Raw genomic sequence first — 25,886 nt, 5'->3', positions numbered from 1 at the left:
TCCGGAGTAGCTGGGACTACAGGCACATGCCACCACGCCTGGCTAATTTTTTGTATTTTTAGTAGAGACGGGGTTTCACCATGTTAGCCAGGATGGTCTCAATCTCCTGACGTCATGATCCGCCTGCCTCGGCCTCCCAAAGTGCTGGGATTACAGGTGTGAGCCACCGCACCCGGCACTACTGCTTTTCATAACCAGCTTTATGATTTGTGGAACACAAGGTGCTCTCCACCTTGTTTCCTCTGGCTGTCTTCTTTGAACATTTTCTACCCTTTCTTTCATTCTTCACTTGATCTTAGGCAAAAGGCTGAGAAGTGATCTTTCTTTCATTTTCTTCAAAGGAGCATGATTCATCCTGTTCACTCCTTCTTGGATCCATGGCTGGCCCAAATTTATTAAAGTTATCCCTTACCCTACATGGTACCTACCACCCACATTCCACGCACCTGGTTAGCTTTCTTCAATTCTGTAAGATATATGTTCACATCGATTTCTTTCATTAATAAGCCTAGGGAAGGGTGGAAGCTTTTCCCACACCACATGCATCTGTGTTAATCCAATCCTTAACTTGCATGTACTCATATTTATGTAAGTCTGGGTTGGAGTCCTTCGAGCACACTCTGTTGACACTTAACCCACATTTGGGAGATAAATTATTTCCCAGTAGAAATGGTATCTCAGCTGAGACAAAAATGATGAGAAGGAGTTAGCAAGGAAAGATGGTAGGCAGAGAGGATTGCTTGTTGAAGGTCCCTGGAATGTGAGAACACAGGGGACCTAGAGAAGTTTAGTAGGGCATGAGGTGTGAGTGGTTGAGGGAGAAAGGTGGGCTGGAGAGATGAGCAAAAGCTGGATCATGGGAGACAGAGTATGCCATGGTAAGGAGTGAAGAAAATGGGAAACCCTGAAAGTGCTTTGAACATGATCAGATTTGAATTTTAGAAAACTCACTGCTGCAGACTTAAGAATGATAGAAAGGGACAAAACTGAAGGCAGGGAAGCATTTGGAAGGTCGCTGCAGTAATCCAGGTGAGGGATGGTGATGGCATGGACCAAGGTGGTGGGTCTGGAGATAAATATACCCAGAGACAGAAGGTAGAATCAATCAGACTTTCTGATACTTTCCAACTGGCAGGCCCTGTCTTTCTCCCACCACCTATTAAAACCTTGTCCACCGTCAGATTCAAATGCTATTGTTTTCATAAAGTTTTTTATGTTCTTCCTGACCTATTACCTACCTTTTCTGAACTTCCGTAACAATTTGTGTACTTACGTTATGATACCAGATTTCAGGATTGAATTATTATTTATGTCTGAATTCGACTTTTTGTCTGAACTAGGTTTTTAGATCTTTGAAAACCAAAACTGTCTTATGTTTTCCTCTGCAGCGTGCTTTGCCTATAGCAGCCCCCAGTAAATGCGTACCAAATTGAATTGCATTCTGTCTGTCCTGCATGCATCTAGTTTTGTGCACTATACTTCTTCTCCAACAGATTCTCCAATTATGAGTATTCCCTGAGTTTTCAAGTTACGGTCTATACATGGACTCAGAAGAAAAGTTTTTGTCCTTGTACACAGACGGGAAAAGAAATCTCAGTATTAAAATTTAATATGTTTGCTTTTATTTTCAGGACAATTCCCCAGCAGTTTTGTGGAAATTGTGACCATTCCCAGTCTAAAAGAGGGAGAGAGGCTGTTTGTGTGCATTTGTGAATTCACATCCCAAGAGTTGGATAATCTTCCCCTCCATCGAGGTAAGCTGCTCATCAAATAGTAGACTATTTGAAATTAGATTTTTGGAGTCTGCCCGTTTCGACAACCAGATCCTTTTTGAATTTGTGAAGTGGCTTAACCTCTAGAGAGTCCTCGGCAATACCAAATAGCGTGGACGTAATGATGCCTTATAGTTTAGTACCATTTTAAAATTTCCAAGGTATTTTCTCACAAATATATTCTCATTTGATCCTCAGCACAGACCTGGGAGGTAGGAAAGTGGGGATTATTAACTGTATTTTATAAATAATGAGAGCAAAATTCAAAGACTGTTGGCCGAAGGTGGGAAGTCTTGGCCTCAGAATATGAACTGATCATATTCTAAGTCCAGTGTTATCTTTCCAATGCCCCCATGCTATAGCCACACTTCAGGCTCATGCTCTCTCTCTCTTTTTTTTTTTTTTTTTGAGACAGTAGTCTCACTCTGTTGCCCAGGCTGGAGTTCAGTGGTGCGATCTCAGCTCACTGCAACCTCTGCCTCCCAGGCTCAAGCAGTCCTCCCACCTCAGCTTCATGAGTAGCTGGGACCGCAGGCACGTGCTACCACGCTGGGCTAATTTTTAGTATTTTTGGTAGAGATGGGGTTTTGCCATATTGCCCAGGCTGGTCTCGAACTCCTAGGCTCAAACAATCTGCCTGCCTCGGCCTCCCAAAGTGCTGGGATTACAGGCATGAGTCACTGCGCCTGACCAACTTCAGGCTTTATTTCTCTTTTTTTCTTTTAAAAACTGATACGGGGCGTGGGCGGAGGGAGAAAAAAATAACTGGGTACGGCTTTGCTAACAATATTACCATTTATTAATGTATAATAGTAGAGCAGGAATTTTGATGTGGAAATTAAGAGATAGGTGCAAAACATCCGCATTTTACTACTGTCTTATCAGAGCCAGTTTAAAAGGAAGTGATTTAAAACAGATAGTCATACTTAGCCAGGCATGGTGGTATGCACCTATAGTCCTAACAACTCAGGAGGCTGCAGCAAGAGGATCGCTTGAGTTGGAAGCGTCAGTGAGCTATGATCACATCACTGCACTCCAGCCTGGGTGACAGAGCGAGACCCTGTCTCAAATAAATAATACATAAATATATAAATATAAATTAAAACAGGTAGTCATAGCTATCTCTCAGTGATTTTCCAAGTATTTCTCCCTTCTTGCACTCTGATTAGATGAACAAACTATAAACCATTTCAACAAGTATCCTTAAGTCCATTCTGCATAAACAGAGAAACCAGTAGTGTCTAAAAGACAGAAGCTTCTGATCAATCCAATTTTGTGATGACTCAGTCATCAAAACAGTAGAACTTATTAGGTGTGTTATTAATATCATTACTTGCTCTTTGGCATATGGCACAAAAGGGACAGGCTTCATTTCTTAAATCATGTACACACATACCCACACACACACACACACACACACACACACACCCAGAAAAACCTATCAAACTTCTCTAACCCTTAGTGATAAGAATGGAATAATGGATTTTGACCTTAATCCTCAAAATCTATTTTGAGAATTTCTTTATTTTTAGATTTTGTTTTATTTTGTTTATTTATTTATTTGTTTGTTTTTTGAGACGGAGTCTCATTCTGTCGAGGCTGGAGTGCAGTGGCATGATCTCGGCTCACTGCAACCTCCGCCTCCCAGGTTCAAGCGATTCTCCTTCCTCAGCCTCCTGAGTAGCTGGGACTACAGGCACCTGCCACCACACCCAGCTAATTTTTGTATTTTTAGTAGAGATGGGGTTTCACCATCTTGGTCAGGCTGGTCTTGAACTCCTGATCTTGTGATCTGCCCACCTTGGCCTCCCAAAGTGCTGCGATTATTTATTTTTTATTATACAAATTTTATTTTATTTTTTAAGACACAGGGTCTCACGTTGTTGCCCAGGCTGGTCTGAAACTCCTAGCCTCAAGTGATGCTACCACCTCAGTCTCCCGAGTAGCTGGGATTACAGACCTTACTTAACTTTAAGAAGTATCATTAGGATTGATAAGAGGCTGGGTATAGTGGCTCATGCCTGTAATCCTAGCATTTTGGGAGGCCAAAGGCAAGAGTATCCCTTGAGCCCAAGAGTTTGAGATCAGCCTGGGCAACATGGCAGGACGCTGTCTCTACAAAAAAAAAAAAAAAAATTAAATTAGCCAGGCATGGTGGTGCATACCAGTGGTATATGCCTGTGGTCCCAGCTACTCAGGAAACTGAGGCAGGAGCCTGAGCCCAGGAGGTTGAGGCTGCAGTGAGCTGTGTTTACGCCACTACACTCCAGCTTGGGCAACAGAACAAGACCTTGTTTCAAAAAAAAAACAAAACGTATTAACGAGAGAAAACGCCACCACGCTCTGTTGTTTTGAGAGTTTCTTACACTTCACTTTATACTCAGTCTCTACTTCAGCTCTATGCTTTCTTGTTAATCAGTGTTGGGAAGGTAGACAGAAATAGATTAAGAGATTATAGCAGGGACCTTATCTGTCCTTACTCATAGCTCTCCCAGTGGAGTCTGTAGTCCATATCTGATGGAATGGAGAAAGGACAAGAGTACAGTGGCTTCCGCTGAGCTGTTCAGAGGATGTGGGTAGCATGAACTTTTCTTAGGAAGCATGCCATCCGAGAGATTCTCAGAAAGAATCTGGCATCGTGAGTCACCTGTCTGAAGACTGACTCAAGGTCAGGCCAGGACCTGGAATCTAGATTTTATCTTGACTACCTTTTAACCAGTTAAGCCTAATAAGCTTAAAGATGTAAGTGGAATCCAAAGGAAGAGGATGTGGGCAGGGGGATACACTGGGAAAGAGAGACTAGAATGAGATGTACTAATTATCCATGGTTTTATCTTGTTCTCCTCTCTGTGATAATCTACTGCCAGTAAACACACTGACCAGTCAGCTTTCCTTCTATGCCTTTCACGTTTTTTTTTTAGCTCTGTCTTTTAATTTGGAAACACAAGGCTTGGAGGATGGAGAAGTTAGTTATACCTATGCAATTTGCCTTTTTCTGGGAAACTTAGCTTGTGCACAAATGATTTTAATTTCTCTTTTTGTATACGTGACAAGTCACATCAACAGGTATTTACTGGTGGGAAACAAAATCACTAAAAAATGAAAGTATTGTTTTATGCCAGATATGCAAGTTTATCAGACTTGCATCTAGGTTTCCTGTTTTTTAAGTCTAGTGCTTGGGATGGCGCTTCAACTTCCTAGACTGAAAATCACTTTTTCCATTAGATCAGTGTGTCTGTAAATGAAATGTTGATGATGGAATAGGTCAGGAGGGGATTTGGAAACCTTAAGAGTATGTGGGGCCAGGCATGGTAGCTCAAGCCTGTAATCCCAGCACTTTGGGAGGCCTAGGCGGGTGGATCACCTGAGGTAAGGAGTTCGAGACCAGCCTGGCCAACATGGTGAAACCCCATCTTTACTAAAAATACAAAATTAGCTGGGCATGATGGTGCATACCTGTAATTGCAGCTACTTGGGAGGCTGAGGCAGGAGAATTGCTTGAACCCGGGAGGTGGAGGTTGCAGAGAGCCAAGATTGCGCCACTGCAGTCCAGCCTGGGCAACAAGAGCGAAACTCCATCTCAAAAAAAAAAAAAAAAAAGTATGTGAGATAATGTTTGAGATCTGTTGTGTTTTACCACGTGCCTTTTTAGTTCACTGTTACTTACTTACCTTTAAGAAGTATCATTAGGATTAATAAGAGAAAAAATATATGTGTAATTTATAGATGTCTATATGTATTTAGAGCAGGCAGTATAGCTTAGGGGATAAGAATTCTGACAGGCCTAAGTTTAAATCCAAGTCCACCACTTAATAGCTGTGACCTTGGACTAGTTACTTAAGTCTCTCAGCCTCAGTTTTCTTATCTACAAAATGAGGATAATAATATAATACCTACCTCAGGGTGATTGTGAGGATTAGATGAGGTTGTACATGGAAAGCATGTGGTAGTAGGTAAGCGCTCAGTAAATGCTAGCTATTCTTATTAGTCTTAACCTGGGCGCCTGGGCTTCATTGATGTGCTTTGGGTATCTTGTTTCTGGGATAAGTCTGTGAAGTTTTGTGTGTCTGTTCTCAGAGAGATTCTATGTGAAATCAGAACCACTGATCTTTGTTCCAGCAGATGTCACCCTTCTTCCTTTTCCTGAAGCTATGTAATTGTTTTGGACTATTCCTACTGTTTTGAGTTAAAATATATATATATATATATATTTTTTTTTTTTCCTTGGGCTGGAGTCTCACACTGTCGCCCAGGCGGGAGTGCAGTGGCGCAATTTCTGCTCACTGCCACTTCCGCCTCGTTGGTTCAAGTGATATTCATGCCTTAGCCTCCCGAATAGCTGGGATTACAGGTGTGTGCCACCACACCCAACTAATTTTTGTATTTTTAGTAGAGACAGGGTTTCACCATTTTGGCCAAGCTGGTCTCGAACTCCTGACTTCAAGCAATCCGCCTGCCTCGACCTGCCAAAGTGCTGGGATTACAGGCATGAGCCACCACGCCTGGCCTCGAGTTATATTTAAACTGAGAAACAAGTCTGTCTCTTAGAAGAAGAATCAAAACAGGTGGCCAGTGCCCCTGACTATCCTAAAAAAAAAACAAAAACAGGAGAAAAGAAAGGTGGGGGGTGGAGGGGAGTAAAGAACAAAGCCAAAATAAGAGATTAGTGCAAGGAGGCTGGGCGCAGTGGCTCACGCCTGTAATCCCAGCACTTTGGGAGGCTGAGGCGGGTGGATCACGAGGTCAGGAGTTTGAGATCAACCTGGCCAAGATGGTGAAACCCCATCACTACCAGCATGGTGGCAGGCACCTGTAATCCCAGCTCCTCGGGAGGCTGAGGCAGGAGAAATTGCTCGAACCCGGAAAGCAGAGGTTGCAGCGAGCCGAGATCGCACCACTGCACTGCAGCCTGGGCGACAGAGCAAGTCTCTGTCTCCAAAAAAAAAAAAAAAAAAAAAAAAGAGAGAGAATAGGACAAGGAAAAGACAGAGAGGAGAGAAACAAGTTAGTGCATATTATGACAAGTGATAAAATATCACTAATAATTGCCTCACGTAAGACAGAATCCTCATCCCTTGCCTATAACCTGCCCCCTCAAACAACAGGCCAATAAAAAATAAATTGACCAGTGGTATTCATCAGTCAAAGCACATGTGTTATAAATTTGTGATGCCATGAATGTGAACTCTCAGGAAAGAAGTTCTGACATGGCTCGTATGGAAACCTGAATAAAATACTCTACGTGGTCAGGCTGCATAAAGCACATAGTTCCCCTGGCATTTAGAGACAGCCCAAAAGGAGTCCGTGAGGAACCCAGGACTGCAGTCAGACTGCTCATATCCGATTCTAAGAAGACCTGCACTCCTTTTTACCATTTTATTCCTAATGCATTTCCTGTTCAAATAAAAAATCCAACCAGAGGAAACAAGCAGTGTGGCTGGGATTAATTGTGCATGAGTCAAAGGCTCAGGCTGACCCTAAGGGTCACCACACTTCCTATTTTTCTGTTCTCAAAATCTGGTCTTGCTCGTGCAGGAGTTCCTCATATTGGCATTTCAGAAGTCTGGGAATGACCACTAGTTATTCTGGAGATACCAATCTAATGGAAAAAGTGATCCGTTCCTAAGGAATCACCTAGGACCCCAGGGGAATAGCTTGTATGACTCTTTCTGATGAAAAACAGAGACTTACGGTTCAGTAACAGGGCTATAAAACAGGGGCATTGAGGCAGAATATGGTGACCCACACCTTTAATCTCAGCAGTTTAGGAGGCCTAGGTGGGAGGATCACTTGAGCCCAGGAGTTTGAGGCCAGCTTGGGCAACAAATGAGACCCCATCTCCACAATAACAAAAAAAAAAATTAGCTGGGCACAGTGGCACACACCTGTAGTCCCAGCTACTCAGGAGGCTGAGGCAGGAGGATTGCTTGAGCCTGGGAGGTCAAGGCTACAATGAGCAGTGATTGAGCCACTGCCCTCCAGCCTGGGTAACAGACTGAGACCCTGTCTCAAAAAATAATAATAATCAAATGAATTTTAAAATAAAAAGGGTATTGAACTAAATAATCTCTAAAGTACTTTCCAGGTTCTAAATTGTGTATGTTTTTCAAGATTCACCTTTACTGTGTAGAAATAACCAATAAAATAGCAGTCCATCAGGTAATAAAGCTTATCAAAACAGTTATCCTGTTGAAAATAGATAGGAAAACAAGCCTTATTATATGGGTTCAGGGGGATCTGACAAAACAAGGAAAATAGCATAATTCTACAGCTTTAAGAAAGCCAGTTGATTTCAAAGCCAGCAGAGTGGGAGTTATGGCACGCTTTTATTCTTCCCCTTCACCAAGAGGCCCATTGTGTCTGAACAGCAGTCAGTCACCAGTGCATTCCCTCTGTGTTCTCGATGGATGGCCTTAGGGCCAGAGGGGGAAAAATTACTTGTGGTTTTTTGTTTGTTTTTTTTTTTGAGACGGAGTCTCGCTCTATCGCCCAGGCTGGAGTGCAGTGGCACAATCTCGGCTCACTGCAAGCTCCGCCTCCCAGGTTCACACCGTTCTCCTGCCTCAGCCTCCCTGGTAGCTGGGACTACAGGCGCCCGCCACCACACCCGGCTAACGTTTTGTAATTTTAGTAGAGACAGGGTTTCACCGTGTTAGCCAGGATGGTCTCAATCTCCTGACCTCGTGATCCCCCTGCCTCGGCGTCCCAAAGTGCTGGGATTACAGGCGTGAGCCACTGCGCCCAGCCTTGTGATTTTTTAGGACCCCAACTTCTGACCAAGGGATAGGGAATCATAAGTTAAAGGAATGTAGAAATACAGGACCAAGACCCTATTTTTGGGGAACACTGAAACCAAATAATATCAAATTTGTGAAAATATTTTGGGCAACTCTCTCTAAGTGTAAAATCTTATGTTAGGTGCTGTATAGTATATAAAAATACAAGTGTCAGAATTCATGATATAGACAATAATTTCTTTTCTAGGCTATAGACAGCCAAGATGAATGTGAGCTTCTAAGGTTTTTTAGAGAAGCAAGCCTAGGTTTCAGATGGAGAGACAGTGTAACTGGAGTAAGGCTTTGGGGTTAATAATGATGCGGCTTCATAACAATAAAAACCTCCTTGTGTGGAATAGGGTCTCATATCATAGGTGAGATAATATTGGATAGTTGGAGAAGGGGAAAGTTGTGACTGGATAATCATGAATGTAAGTTTGCTTTGGGGTGAAAGCATAAGTCTTTTGGTAGCTCAGTAAACCTCTACAGAGAGTGTCCAGAGCAAATTTATTTTTTATATATTTTGGGTAATAAGAATAGGATTACTGAGGAAGAAGCCATTAGCAGTAGGCTCCTTGTGCTTCATGGTAAAAGTTTGGCCCGGGGAGGGAGATGGTAAAACTGGTGCATTTGTAATCTTGATTTGTCATGAATCAATTGGTAGACTTGAAGAAATAATGCGTGGGGACAAGATTTCAAAGGGTGAGATGGTGGGAATTGGACCAGGGTCGTAGCATAGAGCAATTAGTAGAAGGAAGAGGCCGGGCACAGTGGCTCATACCTGAAATCCCAGCACTGTGGGAGACTCAGGCGGGTGGATCACTTGAGTCCAGGAGTTCGAGACCAGCCTGGGCAACATAGTGAGACCCTGTCAAAATAAAAATTAGGTATGGTGGCGCATGCCTGTAGTCTCAGCTACTTAGGAGGCTGAGGTGGGACAATCAGTTGAGCCCGGGTGGTCAAGGCTGCAGTAAGCCATGATTGCACCACTGCACTCAGCCTTGGTGATAGGGTGAGACCCTGTCTCCACAAAAAAAAAAAAAAAAAAAAAAAGAAAAAGGGAAGAAATATTTTGAAAGAAGGAATTAGAAGAAAAAAGGAAATGAGCAGCAGAAGTCAGTTTGGAAAGCAGAATGTAATGAATTTATTTGGGAGTTGGAGTTGAAGAATAATCATCATTAGCAAATGAACATCAAGTGCTTGCCATGCAAAAGGCATCATACCAGACTCTTGAGATACCAAAGAGAAGGTGGTACCTACCATTAAGGAACTGTAACCTACTTGGGAATATAAGACAGACTTAGTTTTTTTTTTTCTTATTTATTTATTTTATTTTATTTTTTAGAGACAGGGCCTCTCTTTGTCACCCAGGCTGGAGTGCAGTGGTCCGATCATAGTTCACTGTAGCCTTGAACTGTTGGGCTCAAGCAGTCTTCCACCTCAGCCTCACGAGTAGCTGAGACTACAGGCAATAGCCACCTTGCCTGAGTAGACTTAAATTTTTTGTTGTTGTTGAGATGGAGTTTTGCTCTCGTCACACAGGCTGGAGTGCAATGGTGCAGCCTCAGCTCACTGCAACCTCTGCCTCCCAGGTTCAAGCCATTTTTCTGCCTCAGCCTCTCGAGTAGCTGGGGTTATAGGCGTGCACCCCCCCACCTGGCTAATTTTGTATTTTTAGTAGACACAGGGTTTCACCATGTTGGCCAGGCTAGTCTTGAACTCCTGACCTGAGGTGATCCTGCGCACCTCGGCCTCCCGAAGTGCTGGGATTACAGGCGTGAGCCACCGCACCTGGCCTAATTTTTTTTTAAATCAAGAGCATGTAAAAATCAAGAGCATAAAAGATAACCCAGTTTTCCAATGTGCTTGACTATAAAATGACTCATAGGATTTTGCCAGGTGCTTTGCTACCCAGATCTTATTTTACCTAGGCCAGGTGCATTCCTTGAGCACCTCTGACTTGGGTACTGAGTGAGAAAGAAATTTTAACTATAAAAGTATAGGTAAGATTAACTTTAATCTTAACTGTAAGATTAAAATAGATAATCTACAAGTGAATAGCTTATAATCAGATAATCAAGAGTTTGTTATAAAACAGTTGATAAAATTAGAGTAATTTTTTCAAAATTAAATCATAAATCATATAGAACTGAATTTTAATTTCATTTTTCCAGAAACATATACTGTGCTCTTATCCTTTCTTTACCTCAACTTCTTCTACAATAAGACAGATGCTAACTGTTCAGCTTACGTTTTGTGAGGATAACCTGAAAATTGGTTATTTTCAAAAACAAAAGTGGTGATTATTGGTACCTTCTTTTAAGATCTCATTATAATATATTTTCAGGATAGGGACAGTTCAAGAAGGCCTCTGGAGAACATGATTGAACATTCATTGTCCATACCCTTCATCTCCAACAAAGAACCCTTTACTAAAGATTTGTTTTTTTTTTGTTTTTTTTTTTTGAGACACGGTCTCACTCTGTTGCCCGGGCCGGAGTGCAGTGGTGCCATCATAGCTCACTGCAGGCTCAAATTCCTGGGCTGAAGCGATCCTCCTGCCTCAGGTTCCCAAGTAGCTGGGACTATAGCGCTCACCACCACACCGGCTAATTTTTTTTTAAATTTTAAATAGAGACGCGGTCTCACTATGTTGCCCAGGCTGATCTTGAACTCTTCTGCTCCAGCAATCCTTCTACCTCAGCCTCCCAAAGTGCTGGAATTACAGGTGTGAGCCACTGCACCTGGCCTCCCTGTATACTCTTAAAAGTTATTGAGACCCCAAAGAGCTTTTTTGTTTTTTTGGGTGGTTTTTTTGTTTTGTTTTTGTTTTTGAGACAGTGTCTTTCTCTGTCGCCCAGGCTGGAGTGCAAGTAGCACAGCCATGGCTCACTGCAGCCTTGACTTCCCAGGTTCAAGTGACTCTCCCGCCTCAGCCTTCCAAGTATCTGTGACCACAGGTGGGCACCACCACACCTGGCTAATTATTGTATTTTTCCCAAAGAGCTTTTGTTTATGTGGGCTGTGTCTGTTGATATTTATCATATTAGCTATTACAACTGGGAATTTTTAAAACTTGTTTATCAGTCTATTAAAAACCCATTACATATTTACGTAAATAACATATTTTTATGAAAAATAAGTATAGCTTTCCAAACAAAAAAAAATTAATGAGGAATGACATTGCTTTACATGTTCGTAAATATTTTTAATGTTCAACTTACTAAAAGAAAACCAGATTCTATTTGCATCTGTATTCAATCTGTTGCAATGTGTTGTTTTCATGGAATTATGTGAAGAAAATCCAGCCTTACACAAATATGCAATGGGAGACAGGAAAAGGTATTTTAATAGTCTTTTCAAATAATTGCAAATATTCATCGTTGACACTGCACCAAAATTCAACGATTGGTAATTTCTTACGAGTTAATTGCAGTGTGGGATCTGAAACTACGTCGGTGAACTTTCATAATATTACACTAAAATTCATTAATCTATCTTGCTTTTGGAGTGTGAATCTTTTAGCCATGAATGATTTTATACCAGCATGCATTTGTCATTTAGGAAATATTGATTCAATTAGCTACTCAGTTATTCCAAATGTTGACCATTTCAACATACAATGTGAAAAAATCATATTTGTTACTATCTCATCAGAAGAATCTTTAAGTATGGGAAAGCTGCCAAGCCCATGGTAGTAGATACAAGTTTTCCAAAATTCTCATTTTCTCTTGGAAGTTGGAATTTTATCATTGGCAACAAATACTGTCATTTGTTCTCCTTGATGTTTCAGACTCACTTTCATTTTGGAGGAAACATCTGCCAGATATCTAAGTCTGAATAAACATAGTTGTCTGTTATTCATTCTTGCACATAAAATGGTGTTATGTGAAAATAAACAGACGGTTCAGGCATATAACTCAGTTACTCGTGCTTCTCCTCAGCAGTAAAAGTGCTTTATGTGTAATTCCTATATTGTCACACAGAATATTACAAAAGAATTGTTCTTAAGGGTTGAGATTTAGCACAGTGCATAATTTGTATTGCTTCTTAACTGAAAATGGCTTTTTTAAAAACTGTGAGTACATGGTTGTGAAGAATACGATGACCATACAGTGACTATTCATGTAATTTGTGGCTACTGCCTTTGCTTATGAATTGCCAGCAGTTTTTAATTAATTTATTATTTTTTTGAGATGGAGTCTTGCTCTGTTGCCCAAGCTGGAGTGCAGTGGTGCGATCTCGGCTCACTGCGACCTCTGCCTCCTGAGTTTAATTTCTGCCTCAGCCTCCTGAATAGCTGGGACTACAGGCACGTGCCACCATGCTCAGCTAATTTTTGTATTTTTAGTAGAGATGGTGTTTCACCATGTTGACCAGGCTGCTCTCGAACTCCTGACCTCAAGTGATCCGCCTGCCTTGGCCTCCCAAAGTGCTGGGATCACAGGCATGAGCCATCGCGCCCAGCCATTTTATTTTTATTTTTGAGACAAGTGTTGCTCTGTCACCCAGACTGGAGCGTAGTGGTGAAATCACAGCTTACTGCAGCCTTGACCTCCTGGGTTCAAGCTATCCTCCCACCTCAGCCTCCTGAATAGCTGGGACTACAGGCATGAGCCACAGTGCACAGCTAATTTTTAAATTTATTGTAGAGACAAGGTCTTGACATGTTGCCCAGGCTGGTTTTGAACTCCTGGTCTCAAGCGATCCTCCTGCCTTGGCCTCCCAAAGTGCTCGGATTTCTGGTGTAAGCCACAGCACCTAGCTGGCCAGCAGTTTTAATCACCATTGCTTTTTCACAGAGATTACAAAAGTCAGCAGAGTAAAATATGTAGATAAAGTCTTAGTGTTATTATGAGAATGGTTTTGACCTCACAGATTCTCTGCTAGGATCTTGGAGACCCACCTGTAGGGTTCCATGGAACACTCTGAAAACTACAGGTTTATAGAACTGCTCCAATTCAATAAATTGTCAAAATTGTTCATGCTCCTAAAGCTCTAGGTGTATTTCCTTGAATTTGGTAGCTGTTTAAAATGAGAGGTTGCACTATTAGTCGTGATAATGTTCTGCTGGGTGATGACTGAGGTCACCATCTCTGCTCCTCTTTTCTTTAGGTGACCTGGTGATTCTCGATGGCATTCCCACTGCAGGCTGGCTGCAGGGCCGAAGCTGCTGGGGCGCACGGGGCTTCTTCCCATCTTCATGTGTCCGCGAGCTCTGCCTCTCCTCACAGAGCCGGCAGTGGCACTCCCAGAGCGCCCTGTTTCAGATTCCGGAATATTCCATGGGACAAGCCCGGGCCCTAATGGGGCTTTCTGCTCAGCTGGATGAAGAGCTGGACTTCAGGGAAGGGGATGTGATCACCATTATTGGAGTTCCTGAACCAGGCTGGTTTGAAGGGGAGTTAGAGGGCCGAAGAGGCATTTTTCCAGAAGGTTTTGTAGAGCTGTTGGGGCCCCTGAGGACTGTGGATGAGTCAGTAAGTTCTGGAAATCAAGATGACTGCATTGTTAATGGTGAAGTAGATACCCCTGTAGGAGAAGAAGAGATAGGGCCGGATGAGGATGAGGAGGAGCCAGGGACCTATGGGGTCGCCCTGTACAGATTCCAAGCCCTGGAGCCAAATGAGCTGGATTTCGAGGTCGGGGATAAAATCCGAATTCTGGCGACCTTGGAAGATGGCTGGCTGGAAGGATCCCTGAAGGGCAGGACAGGCATCTTTCCTTACCGGTTTGTGAAATTATGTCCTGACACACGGGTGGAGGAAACCATGGCTCTGCCCCAGGAAGGCAGCCTTGCCAGGATCCCGGAAACTTCTTTGGATTGTTTGGAGAACACCTTAGGAGTAGAGGAACAAAGACATGAAACCAGTGACCATGAGGCCGAGGAGCCTGACTGCATTATTTCTGAAGCACCCACTTCTCCCCTCGGTCATCTGACTTCAGAGTATGACACAGACAGAAACTCTTATCAGGACGAGGACACCGCAGGAGGGCCCCCGAGAAGCCCAGGCGTGGAGTGGGAAATGCCTCTTGCCACAGACTCTCCCACATCTGACCCTACAGAAGTAGTCAATGGTATTTCCTCCCAACCTCAGGTCCCTTTTCATCCCAACTTGCAGAAAAGCCAGTATTATTCTACAGTGGGAGGGAGCCACCCGCACTCAGAACAGTACCCCGACCTTCTTCCCCTAGAAGCAAGGACTAGAGACTATGCCAGCCTACCTCCCAAAAGAATGTATTCCCAGCTAAAAACTCTTCAGAAGCCAGTGCTCCCTCTTTACAGGGGCTCTTCTGTTTCAGCTTCAAGGGTAGTCAAACCCAGACAATCAAGTCCTCAGCTCCACAACCTAGCAAGTTATACTAAAAAGCACCACACGTCCAGTGTTTACTCCATCTCAGAGAGATTGGAGATGAAGCCTGGTCCGCAAGCCCAAGGGCTTGTTATGGAAGCAGCAACACATTCACAGGGAGACGGCAGCACTGACCTGGACTCGAAGCTGACACAACAGCTGATCGAGTTTGAGAAGAGCTTGGCAGGGCCCGGCACAGAGCCAGATAAAATTTTACGCCACTTTTCAATCATGGACTTTAACTCTGAGAAGGATATTGTCCGAGGTTCCTCAAAGTTAATCACCGAGCAGGAGCTGCCGGAAAGGAGAAAGGCCCTAAGGCCACCGCCACCTCGTCCCTGTACTCCGGTATCCACTTCTCCCCATTTGCTGGTTGACCAGAACCTAAAACCTGCACCACCCTTGGTGGTGCGACCCTCTCGCCCAGCTCCCCTGCCTCCCTCAGCACAGCAGAGAACGAATGCGGTATCCCCCAAGCTCCTATCTCGACACCGTCCTACCTGTGAGACCTTAGAAAAGGAGGGCCCTGGTCATATGGGAAGGAGTCTGGACCAGACCTCCCCATGCCCCTTAGTGCTGGTGAGGATTGAGGAAATGGAGCGGGACTTGGATATGTACAGTAGAGCTCAAGAAGAGCTAAACCTCATGCTGGAGGAGAAGCAGGATGAATCATCAAGAGCAGAGACCCTCGAGGATCTCAAGTTCTGTGAAAGTAACATTGAAAGTTTGAATATGGAACTCCAGCAACTAAGAGGTAAGTGACGAGGAAATAATATGTAATTGTTTCTTGACACTCACAAGTCCCAGAAACAGCCTACCCAGGCTTTTTAGGGATATGTTACCATCCTCGATGGACAAAAAATGATTTACATTTTCATTACCTAATTTCTTTTCTTTTTTTTTTTTTCCTTTTTTTTGAGACAGTCTCGCTCTGTTGCCCAGGCTGGAGTGCAGTGGCATGAACTTGGCTCACTGCAGCCTCCACCTCCTGGGCTCAAGTGATTCTCCTGCCTCAGCCTCCCAAATGGCTGGGATTGCAGACATGCGCCATCACCACACCTGGCTAATTTTTGTATTTTTAGTAGAGACAGTGTTTTGCCATGTTGCCAGGCTGGTCTTGAACTCCTGGCCTTGGGTGATCCACCTGCCTCGGCCTCCCAAAGTGTTGGGATTACAGGCATGAGCCACCACGCCCGGCCTCTTTTTTTTTTTTTTTTTTTTTTGAGACAGAGTTTCGCTCTTGTTGCCCAGGCTGGAGTGCAATGGCGCGACCTTGGCTTACCACAACCTCTGCCTCCCAGGTTCAAGCGATTCTCCTGCCTCAGCCTCCTGAGTAGCTGGGATTACAGGCAAGCGCCACCATGCCTGGCTAATTTTGTATTTTTAGTAGAGATGGGAATTCTCCATGTTGGTCAGGCTGGTCTCGAACTCCTGACCTCAGGTGATCCGCCCACCTTGACCTCCCAAAGTGCTGGGATTACAGGCATGAGCCACCGCACCCAGCCTCACTACCTAATTTCTTATTTCATCACCCTAGATAGGCTGTCTTGAGCCTCTGACTCTGTTTTGAGCCTATGACTGCTGTAGCCTCCTGACTTCATTTGCTGCTCAGATAAAGAATCTCAAACCTTGCCGGGTGCGGTGGCTCACACCTGTGATCCCAGCACTTCGGAAGGCTGCGGTGGGTGGATTGCTTGAGCCCAGGAGTTTGAGACCAGCCTGGGCAACAGGGCCAAACCCTGCTTCTACAAAAAAATACAAAAAATAATTAGCCAGGAGTGGTGGTATATCCCAGTAGTCCCAGCTACTCGGGAGGCTGAGGTGGGAGGATTGCTTGAACCTGGGAGGCAGAGGTTGCTGTGAGCAATGATCATGCCACTGCTCTCCAGCTTGGGCAACAGAGTGAGACCCTGTCTCCAAAAAAAAAAAGAATCTCATACCTCGGAGACACATATACCTCTGGGACATTTATGTCTCTTATTCTGCTATGGCATCCATAGCAGTGGTGCAGATGGGAAGTCCCTAAGTAGAACTTTCTTTAATCAGGCTCCATTAAGCACTAAAGACTTCCAGGTTAAGAAAGACTCATGAGAAAACTCCATCTTGTATCTTTGCTGTCCAGAGAGTAGATTTCTTTTTTTTCTTTTTTTTTTTGAGACAGAGTCTTACTCTGTCACCCAGGCTGTAGTGGTGAGATCTTGGCTCACTGCAACCTGTGCCTCCCGGGTTCAAGTGATCTCATGCCTCAGCCTCCTGAATAGCTGAGATTACAGGTGCATGCCACCACGCCTGGCTAATTTTTCTATTTTTAGCAGAGATGGGGTTTTGTCACATTGCCCAGGCTGGTCTCAAACTCCTGACCTCGAGTGATCCACCCACCTTGGCCTCCCAAAGTGCTGGGATACCATGCCTGGCCAAGGGAGTAGATTTTAATAATAGTAATAGCTAACATTTATTACCATATTAGTAAGCATGTGTTAGAATTTGCCTACAGGAAGAATGTTCACAGCTACCCTAAAGGTACAATGATAATTCATATGGCTACTCTATAGATGAGGAAACTAAGACATAGATATTGAGTAGGCTCAAGCCTGTAATACCAGCACTTTGGGAGGCCGACGTAGGAGGATCACTAGAGCCCAGGAGTTCAAGAGCAGCCTGGGCAACATAGAGAGACCTGTCTCTTAAAAAAAAAAAAAGTTTTAAATTAAATTTGAAAAGAGATTAAGTGACTTGCCAAGGGAGTTGGGATTTAAGCTTATGTTTCTAACAACTATAGTTCACCGCTTCCTATACTGGCACACTGAAAATTCAAATTATTTCCCTTAATTTGGGAATGATAAGCCTCTGGAGACTTCATTCATATTCACCAGACTCACAGGAGAAAAAATTTATAAATAGGAAGAGTACAAGAGGTAGGCAACCAACAGCAATTGGTCTAGGGCCCAAGAACGTGAATACATGTCACTTTTGGCTTGTGTACCAGAGATTTGAACTTATGTGTCATCAGGAAAGTCAATAATAGAAAGCAACCCAGGGGGTCTAGGAATAGCAGGATACTAATAAGAGATAAAAGCAGAATGGTGATCCAGAGATCCTGGATCAAGATGGCAGACTGAGCACATATAGCTACCTCCCTCCCTTTCTACTTTAGGTCTATAAAAGTGAATGGAAATAATAGAATAAAAAAATTCCAATAAAAAAGAGTATTATTGGAAATCAAGTAATCTTCTGAAAGATGATATAGCAGAAAGAGAGGGAAACCTCTATTCAAAATATTCTTAGGAAAGGACTATTATGCATGTGGGCAGAGTTCTAAGGGAACTGCAGACTAAGAGATGGTGCGGTAGGAGGGGTCCTAGAGCACATTCAGTGTAATTGATTAGGGGATAGCTAGGGAGCCAGGCCGCTGGGTTGCTTGTACTGAACAGCAGGAGCATTTACCCTCAAGCTACAGCATGAAGTAGATGCTTAGACAAGTCCTCAAAAAGGTGTTCATTTAATATGAGTACTTGAGCTCTCAGGGGAATGCCAGATACCTTGATTTCAGAGTCCCTGAAAAAGAATTCTGAGGGAACCTTGGCTGAGTGTTACATTCCCAAAGCCCTAGCAAACTCCAGATTCTCCATCACTTTCTATACCTACAAGTTTCAAGATAAACCTGTAAACAATTCTTGCATTAGATATTGTATTAGTCCATTTTCACACTGCTGATGAAGATACCAGATACTGGGCAATTTACAAAATGAAGAGGTTTAATGGACTTACAATTCCACATGGTTGGGGAGGCCTCACAATCATGGTGGAAGGCAAGGAGGAGCAAGTCACGTCTTACATGGATGATAGCAGGCAAAGAGAGAGTTTGTGTAGGGAGACTCCCATTTTTCAAAACCATCAGATCTCATGAGACTTACTCACTCTCACGAGAGCAGCACAGGAAAGACCTGCCCCCATGATTCAATTATCTCCCACCGGCTCCCTCCCACAACACATAGGAATTCAAGATGAGTTTGGAGTGGGGACACAGCCAAACCATATCATTCTGCCTGGATCCTCCCAAATCTCATGTCGTCACATTTCAAAACTAATCATGCCTTCCCAACAGTCCCCCAAAGTCTTAACTCATTTCAGCATTAACTCAAAAGTCCACAGTTCGACGTCTCATCTGAGACAAGGCAAGTCCCTTCTGCCTATGAGCCTGTAAAATCAAAAGCAAGTTAGTTACTTCCTAGAAACAATGGGGATACAGGCATTGGGTAAATACAGCCATTCCAAATGGGAGAAATTGGCCAAAACAAAGGGGCTACAGGCCCCACGCAAGTCTGAAATCCAGTGGGGCAGTCAAATCTTAAAGCTCCAAAATGATCTCCTTTGACTCCATGTCTCACAACGAGGTCACACCGATGCAAGAGGTGGGTTCCCATGGTGTTGGGCGGCTCTGCCCCTGTGGCTCTCCAGGGTACAGCCTCCCTCCTGGCTGCTTTCACGGGCTGATGTTGAGTGTCTACAGCTTTTCCAGGCACACGGTGCAAGCTGTTGGTGGATCTACCATTCTGGGGTCTGGAAGATTTTGGCCCTCTTCTCACAGCTCCACTAGGTGGTGCCCCAGTAGGGACTCTGTGTAGAGGCTCTGACCCCACATTTTCCTTCTGCACTGCCCCAGCAGAGGTTCTCCATGAGAGCCCTGCACCTGCAGCAAACTTCTGCCTGGACATCCAGGCATTTCCATACATCCTCTGAAATCGAGGCAGAGGTTCCCAAACCTCAGTTCTTCTGTGCACCCGCAGGCTCAACACCACATGGAAGCTGCCAAGGCTTGGGGCTTGCACCCTCTGAAGCCATGGCCTGAGTTCTACATTGGCCCCTTTCAGCCATGGCTGGAGCAGCTGGGACACAGGGCACCAAGTCCCTAGGCTGCACACAGCATAGTGATCCTGGGCACAGCCCAGGAAATCACTCTTTCCTCCTAGGCCTTTGGGCCTGTGATGGGTGCAGTTGCCGTGAAGACCTCTGACATGCCCTGGAGACATTTTCCCCATTGTCTTGGGGATTAACATTTGGCTGCTCATTACTTACGCAAATTTCTGCAGCTGGTTTTTCTCTTCAGGAAATGGGATTTTCTTTTCTATCACATTGTCAGGCTGCACATTTTTGGAACTTCTGTTCTGTACATCCCTTATAAAACTGAATGCCTTTAACAGCACCCAAGTCACCTCTTGCATGCTTTGCTGCTTAGAAATTTTTTCTGCCAGATACCCTAAATCATCTCTCTCAAGTTCAAAGTTCCACAAATCTCTAGGGAAGAGGCAAAATGCTACCAGTCTCTTTGCTAAAATATAACAAGAGTCACTTTTGGTCCAGTTCCCAACAAGTTCCTCATCTCCTTCTGAGACCACCTCAGCCTGGATTTCATTGTCCATATCTTTATCAGCATTTTGGTCAAAGTCATTCAACAAGTCTCTAGGGAGTTCCAAACTTTTCCACATTTTCCTGTCTTCTTCTGAGCCCTCCAAATTGTTCCAGCCTCCGCCTGTTACCCAGTTCCAAAGTCAGTTCCACATTTCCGGGTATCTTTTAAGCAGTGCCCCGCTTTACTGGTACCATTTTCCTGTATTAGTCCATGTTCACACTGCTGATAAAGACATACCCAAGACCGGGCAATTTACAAAAGAAAGAGGTTTAATGGACTTATCGTTCCACATGTTGGGGAGGCCTCACAATCATGGTGGAAGGCAAGGAGGAGCAAGTCACATCTTACGTGGATGGCAGCTGGCAAAGAGAGAGCTTGTGCGGGAAGACTCCCGTTTTTCAAAACACCATCTTTTGTGAGACTTATTCAGTCACGAGAACAGCACAGGAAAGACCTGCCCCCCATGATTCAATTACCTCCTACCAGGTCCCTCCCACAACACGTAGGAATTCAAGATGGGATTTGGGTGGGGACACAGCCAAACCATGTCAAATATATAGGTGGGAGAATAAAAGACTCCCAAATTTCAGGTAGCAGGAATTTCCCAGTAATGGTACTTTTTAGAATTAATAGTGTTCCATGGAAAATGTTATGTCTTCTGTGCTTAAGAACACTGCAGTGTTTTTATTTTTATTTTTTGTGTGTGCAGTGTTTTTAAATGGGTAAATGGACTGGTACTACATAAAACTGGTGTTCTTTTTTATTCACCAGACCTTCATTTTCAGAATTAGTTTATTCAGCAAGTGTTCTGACTTTTTAAAAAAATTGCTGTTTAGTGCTGTGAAAGACTTAATGTGGGTGTAGTCTATTTCGGGAAGACTTTGTAAAATTTGAATCCACCAAATACAGTATTGGGTATGTTAATGTTGATTTGATTGATTTCTCAAAAGGTGTTTTGATAATATCTATTGCTAATATGATAAAATTACTTATTCCTTGCAGTAACAGCCAATTTCTCATAAGGTCATTTTTTTCTGTCTTCATAAAAGGTGTATCCAACAATATAAGCTATCCCTCAAGAGGTGGAAATTAACCAGTTTGAGCACCAGGCATTACTTCTCTAATCTGGTTCTGTATAAGTTATAATTTTAAAATTTAAGGCCTAAGATTTAAAGAACTTTCAATATAACATTTATCTAATTCTGATCAATATTATATTTAGTTGTTAATATGCTTACTGAGAAGACAGGTTTTATCTATTATTCAGTGTGTCATTTCCCACACACCTGGTATGATGTTCTATACATAGTAGGGACTCAAATACCTAATGAAGGGAGTTGAGTTTAACTGAATTGATTTGAATTGAATTGCCTGCTCTACCTCCCAGAGTTTTCAGAGATCTCCTACTTCTGTTGTTACTTTGAACTGGTCTACTTGGGACCTGGGAATCAGTGCAGAGATGGCAGGCCCCTTGTCAGACCAGTGCTGTGCCAGACCCACAGTGAGGTTTTTAGTGTAGCTACTGCCTCTTCTTAAAACTCTGCATTTATTTATTTATTTATTTATTTATTTATTTATTTATTTATTTATTTTTGAGATGGAGTCTCACTCTTGTTGCCCAGACTGCAGTGCAATGGCGTGATCTTGGCTCACTGCAACTTCTGCCTCCCGGGTTCAAGTGATTCTTCTGCCTTAGCCTCCCGAGTAGCTGGAATTACAGGTGCCCGCCACCACACCTGGCTAATTTTTGTATTTTTAGTAGAGATGGGGTTTCACCATGTTGGTCAGCCTGGTCTCGAACTCCTAGCCTCAAGTGATCCGCCTGCCTTGGCCTCCCAAAGTGCTGGGATTACAGATGTGAGCCATCATGCCCAGCTTTGGTTTTTATTTTCTTTCCATATGGTAAGCATAGCTGTTTTATAGTCTGTGTATGATTCCAAGATATTCAGTGTTAGTGGGACTGTTTTTGATGTCACATGGGTTCTCATTTTTGTGGTCTAGGCTCTTTGTGTGTCTGATTATCTTACTGTGTGCTGGTCATAGTATTTGGAAAATCTTAAGAGTTGAGGTGAAGACACCTGAACTCTAGAAAGAATTTGCATTTGTTTCTGTCAGTTGTTTGTAGTCAACTAATGTTTCCAAATTCCTGAAGGATAATAATATTTGAGATTCAGGAGTAAGAAGTTGGAATTCCTGGGAGTTCCTAAATTATAACCTTGTATTTTAAAAAACTTTTACTTACACATTCTTGAATAGTAGTAGAGATCATAATCAAAGATGACAAGTTTTCCTGTGCTAGTATTACACTAACATTTTCAGAGGTTTTATATTTGTGTATGATAAATGCACGGTTTGTTGTTGTGAGCCACAATGTCGTGATATGATTATATATTTTAATAACATGTAAAAATATTCTCTACCTGATAATAGACTTTTTTAAAGGACTTGTTTTTTGTAAGAGCTGTTTTAGATTAACAGCAACATTGAAAGGAAGGTACAGAGATTTCCCATATCCCGTGCCCCCACACATACATAGCTTCCCCTATCATCAACATCGTAAAAACATTCTTAAATTTCATTTTTAAATAATTTTAGATTTATAGAAAGCTGCAAAAATAAGAGCTTCCATATACTTCGCTCAGCTTCTCCTAACCTTAATATCTTACACACCTATAGAAGATCTATAAAATCAGAAAATTAATGTGATAATGTAAAACATTAAAAGAGCATTAGTACAAGATAAATGTCAAAAACTATTTAAAAATTGAAAGAAATACCACAAATATTTAGTATTTTAAATTACTCTTAAAATAGAATTTTATTTTAACTTTTAAATGTTAGATTCAGGGAGTACATATGCAGATTTGTTACAAGGGTATATTGTGTAATGCTGAGGTTTGGGCTTCAATTGATCCCATCACCTGTGTAAGAGAACATAGTACCTAATAGGCAGTTTTTCAACCTTTGCCTCCCTCCCTCCCTCCCTCCCTCCATTGTCCTGTAGTCCCCAGTGTCTGTTGTTCCTATCTTTATGTCCATGTGTACCCAGTGTGTAGCTCCCACTTATAAGTGAAAACATGCAATATTTGGTTTTCTGCTTCAGCCTTAATTTTCTTAGGATACTGGCCTCCAGCTGCATCCATGTTGCTGCAAAGGACATGATTTCATTCTATTTTGTGGCTACATACTATTTTATGGTGTATATATACCAGGATTTCTTTATCCAGTCCACTGTTGATAGGCACCTAAGTTGATTTCATGTCTTTGCTGTAGTGAATAGTGCTGGAGTCAGCTGAGTGCAGGTGTGTTTTTGGTAGAAGAATTTTCCTTTGGGCATATACCCAATACTGGGATTGCTAAGTCGAATGATAGTTCTACTTTTAGCCCCTTAAGAAATCTCCAAACTGCTTTCCACAGGGGCTGAACTAATTTACATTCCCACTAACAGTGTATAAGTGTTCCCTTTTCTCTACAACCATGCCAACATATCTGTTATTTTTTTACTTTAATACCCATTCTGACTGGTGTAAGATGGTTTCTCATTTGGTTTTGATTTGCACTTCTCTGATGATTAGCGATGTTAAGCATTTTTTTCATATATTTGTTGGCCACTTGTATGTCTTCTTTTGAGAAGTGTCAGTTCATGTCCTGTGCCCAGTGTTTAGGGGGGTTGTTTTTTTTCTTGTTAAGTTCCTTATAAATTCTAGATGTTAGGCCTTTGTTGGATGCATAGTTTACATATAGTTTTTCCCAGTCTGTAGGTTGTCTGTTTACTCTGTTGATAGTTTGTTTTGCTGTACAGAAGCTCTTTAGTTTAATTGGGTTCCAGTTGTCAGTTTTTGTTTTTGTTGCAGGTTGCCTAAGCCAATGTCTAGAAGAGTGTTAACTAGGTTTTATTCAAGGATTTGTGTAGTTTGAGACCTCACATGTAAGTCTTTAATCCATCTTGAGTTAATTTTTGTATATGGTGAGAGATGGAAGTCCAGTTTCATTCTTCTGCATATGGTTAGTTTTTCCAGTACCATTTATTGTATAGAGAATTCTTTCCCCATTGCTTATTTTGGTCAACTTTGTTGAAGATTACTTGGTTGTAGGTGTGCAGCTCTATTTCTGGATTTTCTGTTCTGTTCCATTGGTTTACATGCCTTTAAATAGTATTTTAAATACACAGAGCATTAGTTGCTCTATCTGATAGTGTTGATCTTTGTTTTGTGACTAATATTTCATACATCAAAAAAAGGTTTTCATTTTATGTTGATGTTGGTGGAATTGTTAAGTGTGTATTCAAAAGCATTTCTGGAGCTGGGCTCAGTGGCTCATGCCTGTAATCCCAGCACTCTGGGAGGCCGAGGCGGATGGATGACTTGAGGTCAGGAATTTGAGACCAGCCTGGCCAACATGGTGAAACCCTGTCTCTACTAAAAATACAAAAAATTAGCAGGGCATAGTGGTGTGCACCTGTAATCTCAGCTACTTGGGAGACTGAGGCAGGAGAATGGCTTGAACCCAGTAGGCAGAGGTTGCAGTGAGCCAAGATCGTGCCACTGCACTACAGCCTGGGCAACAGAGCGAGACTCCGTCTCAATTAAAAAAAGAAAAAAAAGCATTTCTGGGTAGGGCTGTTCGGTTGCATGTTGTCTCATGAAAGCTCATTTTCTTTTTAATGTTGAAAACATTTTTTCTGCTTCTTCTGATTTTGGCTTTGCCATTGAAATTGATATTGCTTGTGCTAATTCAGATTTTAGATATGTTCCTGATTTTGTGTAGGGATATTTCACAGCAATATTCACATCTCTTTTGTATTTCTTCTGTTAAAACATTTATAAAGAACTATATAGCAAATATTAAGCAGTGGAAAACACTGGACAAACATTACTGGGTGGTTTTCAAATAATGGAACATTTGCCTCTCTGAGCAAGATTTAGCACTGTACAGAATCATGTGTCAGAATTGCTAAGGACTTACTTTGTTTGCAAAACTTTATTTCTTAGACTACCCTTATAAGATCTGTATAAAGCATACTATACAAGTAAGCTTATTAATCTTTATTTTATTTGCAAGAATGACTCACTGTTGGCAACACACGGGGCCATGAGCACACACTCTTCTAAACACATGTATTACATAGCAACAACTATGAGCAAAGCTAACTGATTAGACCCTGGCCCTCCTACCCACTCTTGTCCTCATTCCCAGAAATGTCACCTTGTAACATTTTACTCCGCGTGCCAGTATTCTCTGCTCTTGCGTCAACTTGACATTGGTGGATTTCTTTAAACTCTTAATGTCTCTGCATTTATTGTTAGGCTTTATTCTCTCAGGAGAATCCTAGTACCTTCTCTTGTTTCCTAGAGTCCTCAGCTGATTTTTTTTGTTTTTTTTGTTTTTGATTTAGAAAGACATATAAATTTCCTAAGAAATGCTGAGAAGGAATTTCCACATGGAAACAAACACTAGTCATTCTCAGCCCAGGTCCAACTTAAACCAATTTCAAGGCTCAGTGTACCTTGTACCTTGGATGACCAAGGTATCGGAACTCAGCTGTAATTTAGCAAGAGGGCTGGCCCAATTCTGA

The 25,886-nt window shown here is 42.5% G+C and overlaps 1 protein-coding gene and 1 long non-coding RNA gene across 6 annotated transcripts in view, besides 2 other annotated features; one reads left to right on the top strand and one right to left on the bottom strand.

Annotated features, from left to right (window-relative positions):
• Positions 1–25,886, top strand: part of DNMBP (dynamin binding protein) — a 134,377-nt gene that overhangs the window by 39,079 nt on the left and 69,412 nt on the right. For all 5 annotated transcript variants that reach the window (NR_199816.1, XM_047424910.1, NM_001441288.1 and 2 more), the window contains 2 exons: positions 1,632–1,754; positions 13,664–15,655. Coding sequence is in view for 4 of the 5 variants with exons in the window: in XM_047424910.1 (XP_047280866.1) it covers positions 1,632–1,754; positions 13,664–15,655 (2,115 nt within the window). In the remaining variant the exon portion in view is untranslated. The remainder of the gene's footprint in view (positions 1–1,631; positions 1,755–13,663; positions 15,656–25,886) is intronic.
• The window catches only part of DNMBP-AS1 (DNMBP antisense RNA 1), a 31,794-nt gene continuing 17,778 nt past the window's right edge, over positions 11,871–25,886 (bottom strand). The window contains exons 3-5 of the long non-coding RNA NR_024130.3: positions 15,037–15,195; positions 14,278–14,387; positions 11,871–14,080 (exon numbers count right to left, since the gene is read on the bottom strand). This is a non-coding gene — a long non-coding RNA (DNMBP antisense RNA 1). The remainder of the gene's footprint in view (positions 14,081–14,277; positions 14,388–15,036; positions 15,196–25,886) is intronic.
• Positions 13,259–13,905: an enhancer, noted in NCBI's record as "H3K27ac-H3K4me1 hESC enhancer chr10:101716721-101717367 (GRCh37/hg19 assembly coordinates)". NCBI's record gives its function as "activates a minimal SCP1, AML or CMV promoter by ChIP-STARR-seq in naive H9 embryonic stem cells {active_cell/tissue: H9 hESC(naive)}" and the evidence as "EXISTENCE:reporter gene assay evidence [ECO:0000049][PMID:30033119]".
• Positions 13,906–14,553: an enhancer, noted in NCBI's record as "H3K27ac-H3K4me1 hESC enhancer chr10:101716073-101716720 (GRCh37/hg19 assembly coordinates)". NCBI's record gives its function as "activates a minimal SCP1, AML or CMV promoter by ChIP-STARR-seq in naive H9 embryonic stem cells {active_cell/tissue: H9 hESC(naive)}" and the evidence as "EXISTENCE:reporter gene assay evidence [ECO:0000049][PMID:30033119]".

This window comes from Homo sapiens, chromosome 10, assembly GCF_000001405.40.
Source record: "Homo sapiens chromosome 10, GRCh38.p14 Primary Assembly".
In the NCBI taxonomy this organism is placed as follows: domain Eukaryota; kingdom Metazoa; phylum Chordata; class Mammalia; order Primates; family Hominidae; genus Homo; species Homo sapiens.
Note: the sequence above shows the minus strand (reverse complement) of the source record. Positions and strands in the feature narration are given on the sequence as shown.